Here is a 2,263-nt window from a genome sequence, read left to right on the forward strand (position 1 = left end):
TTGCATCCCTGGAATAAACCCCACTTGACCATGAGGTATTCTCTTTAAGTGCTATTGGATTCAGTTTGCTAGTATTTTATTGAGGATTATTGCCTTTAGTTCATCGAAAATATTGACGTGTAGTTTTCATTTTTATTGTTGTGTTCTTTCCCAGCTTTGGTATAAGGGTAATACTGGCTTTGTAGAATGAGTTAGGAAGGATTCTGTCCTCAATTTTTTGAAACAGTTTCAGTAGAATTGACACCAGTTCTTATTTGTGTGTCTGGTAAAATTAGGCTGTGAATTTGTCCGTCCCTGGGATTTTTTTTTTTTTTTGGTAGGGGGAGAATTTTGTTAATGATTCATTATTATTACTCATTATTGGTCTTTTCAGGATTTCTGTTTCTTCCTGATTTAACCTTGGGAGATTTTAAGTGTTGTAAAACTCAGTATGACTCCGAGTTGCTGAATTAATATAATTACCTGAGATTGTTGTTAATAATTGAATTTTCTACATTCTACTCTATATCTCCTGAATTTGATTATCCAGAGGAGTCTGAGAATCTGTATTCTTATTTTATTTTTTGCATTGACAAATAAAATCGAATGTATTTACTGTATATAATGTGATGTTTTAAAATATATGTACATTATGGACTAAATGTCACCAATTAACATATTAATCTTACCCAGACTAAATCTGGCTAATTAACATACATATTACTTACATGGTTATCGTTTTTCTGCAGAGAACACTTACATACACTCTTGTTGTTTTTCAAGAATATATTATGAACTGTAGTCACCGTGTTGTACAATAGATCTCTTAAGCTTACTCCTCCTTTCTAACTAAAATTTTGTATCCTTTGACCAACATTTACCCCCACCCCAAACATCCCACCCGCTGGTAAACCTCATTGTGCTTTCTACTTCTGGGACATCAACTTTTTAGATTACACACATGAATGAGATCAAGCAGTGTTTGTCTTTCTGTGTCTGGCAGAACATAATGCTCTCTAGATTCATCCATGTTGATACAAATAAAAAGATTTTATTATTTCGTATGACTGAACGGTACTCCATTGTGTATCAATACCCCATTTTTTAATCCATTCATTTTTTTCTTTGTTCTTGTCCTAATCCATTCATTTTTTGATGAACACTTAGGTTGATTTCATGCCTTGGATATTATGAATAGTGCTGCAATAAACAGAGAAGGACAGATATCTCTCCCACATACTGATTTAATTCTCCTTTCCCTCAGATGTGGAATTGCTTGATTACATGGTAGTTCTATTTTTAATTTTTAAAAAAATCTTCATACTGTATATCATAATGGCTATACTAATTTTCATTCCTACATATAATGTGCAAGGGTTCTTTTTTCTCTACAATCTTGTCAATACTTCTTATCTTCCTTTAGATAACAGCCAGAGTGTCTGTATTTTAACCACAAGCAATGCAGATGATCCTCATGATGAGACACATTGGTGCACACCAACAGGGTCCACTATTGGGGAGAATTTGATGAGTGGTGACAAGTGAGTCCGTTCACTAGACCTCTCCAGGATTCCTGAACATCAGCCCTAATTTCTGTTTCCTTCCCTGCCCTATAGAAATATCTCCTTAGATGCCGATTGTGAAATTCTTGTCTTTTAAAAACCTGACTCTCTGCTCATTTAAATTTCAAACCTCACTCTGAAAGGAAGGAATTACTAAACAGGTAAGTTCTTTGTAATAAAGGGTATATCTTTTTTTTTTTTTTTTTTGATACTGAGTCTCACTCTGTTGTCCAGGTTGGAGTACAGTGGTGCAATCTTGGCTCATTGCAACCTCCACCTCTTGGGTTGAAGCAATTCTCCTGCCTCAGCCTTCCGAGTAGCTGGGACTACAGGCACATGCCACCACGCTCAGCTAATTTTTTGTATTTTTAGTAGAGACAGGGTTTCACCATGTTAGCCAGGAAGGTCTTGATCTCCTGACCGCGTGATCCGCCTGCCTCGGCCACCCAAAATCCTGGGATTACAGATGTGAACCACTGCGCCTGGCCAACAAAGGGTATATCTTGAGGCACAAAGTGACAGCTGTGTAAATAATTCACTGTTAAGGCTCATATACCTGAAGTGGTAAGTTTATTTGGCCTATTATCATGCTGTCAGTGGACATGGGATCACAAAGACAGTCATTCTCAAATTCTGTGTTTTATATCCCTTGGAGAGATTTGACCTCACTATTTTGGACTCGTTAGCTCAATGGAACATTTAGAGAGAGAGAAAGACCAAAC

Source organism: Homo sapiens, chromosome 13 (assembly GCF_000001405.40).
Source record: "Homo sapiens chromosome 13, GRCh38.p14 Primary Assembly".
Classification (NCBI taxonomy): Eukaryota; Metazoa; Chordata; class Mammalia; order Primates; family Hominidae; genus Homo; species Homo sapiens.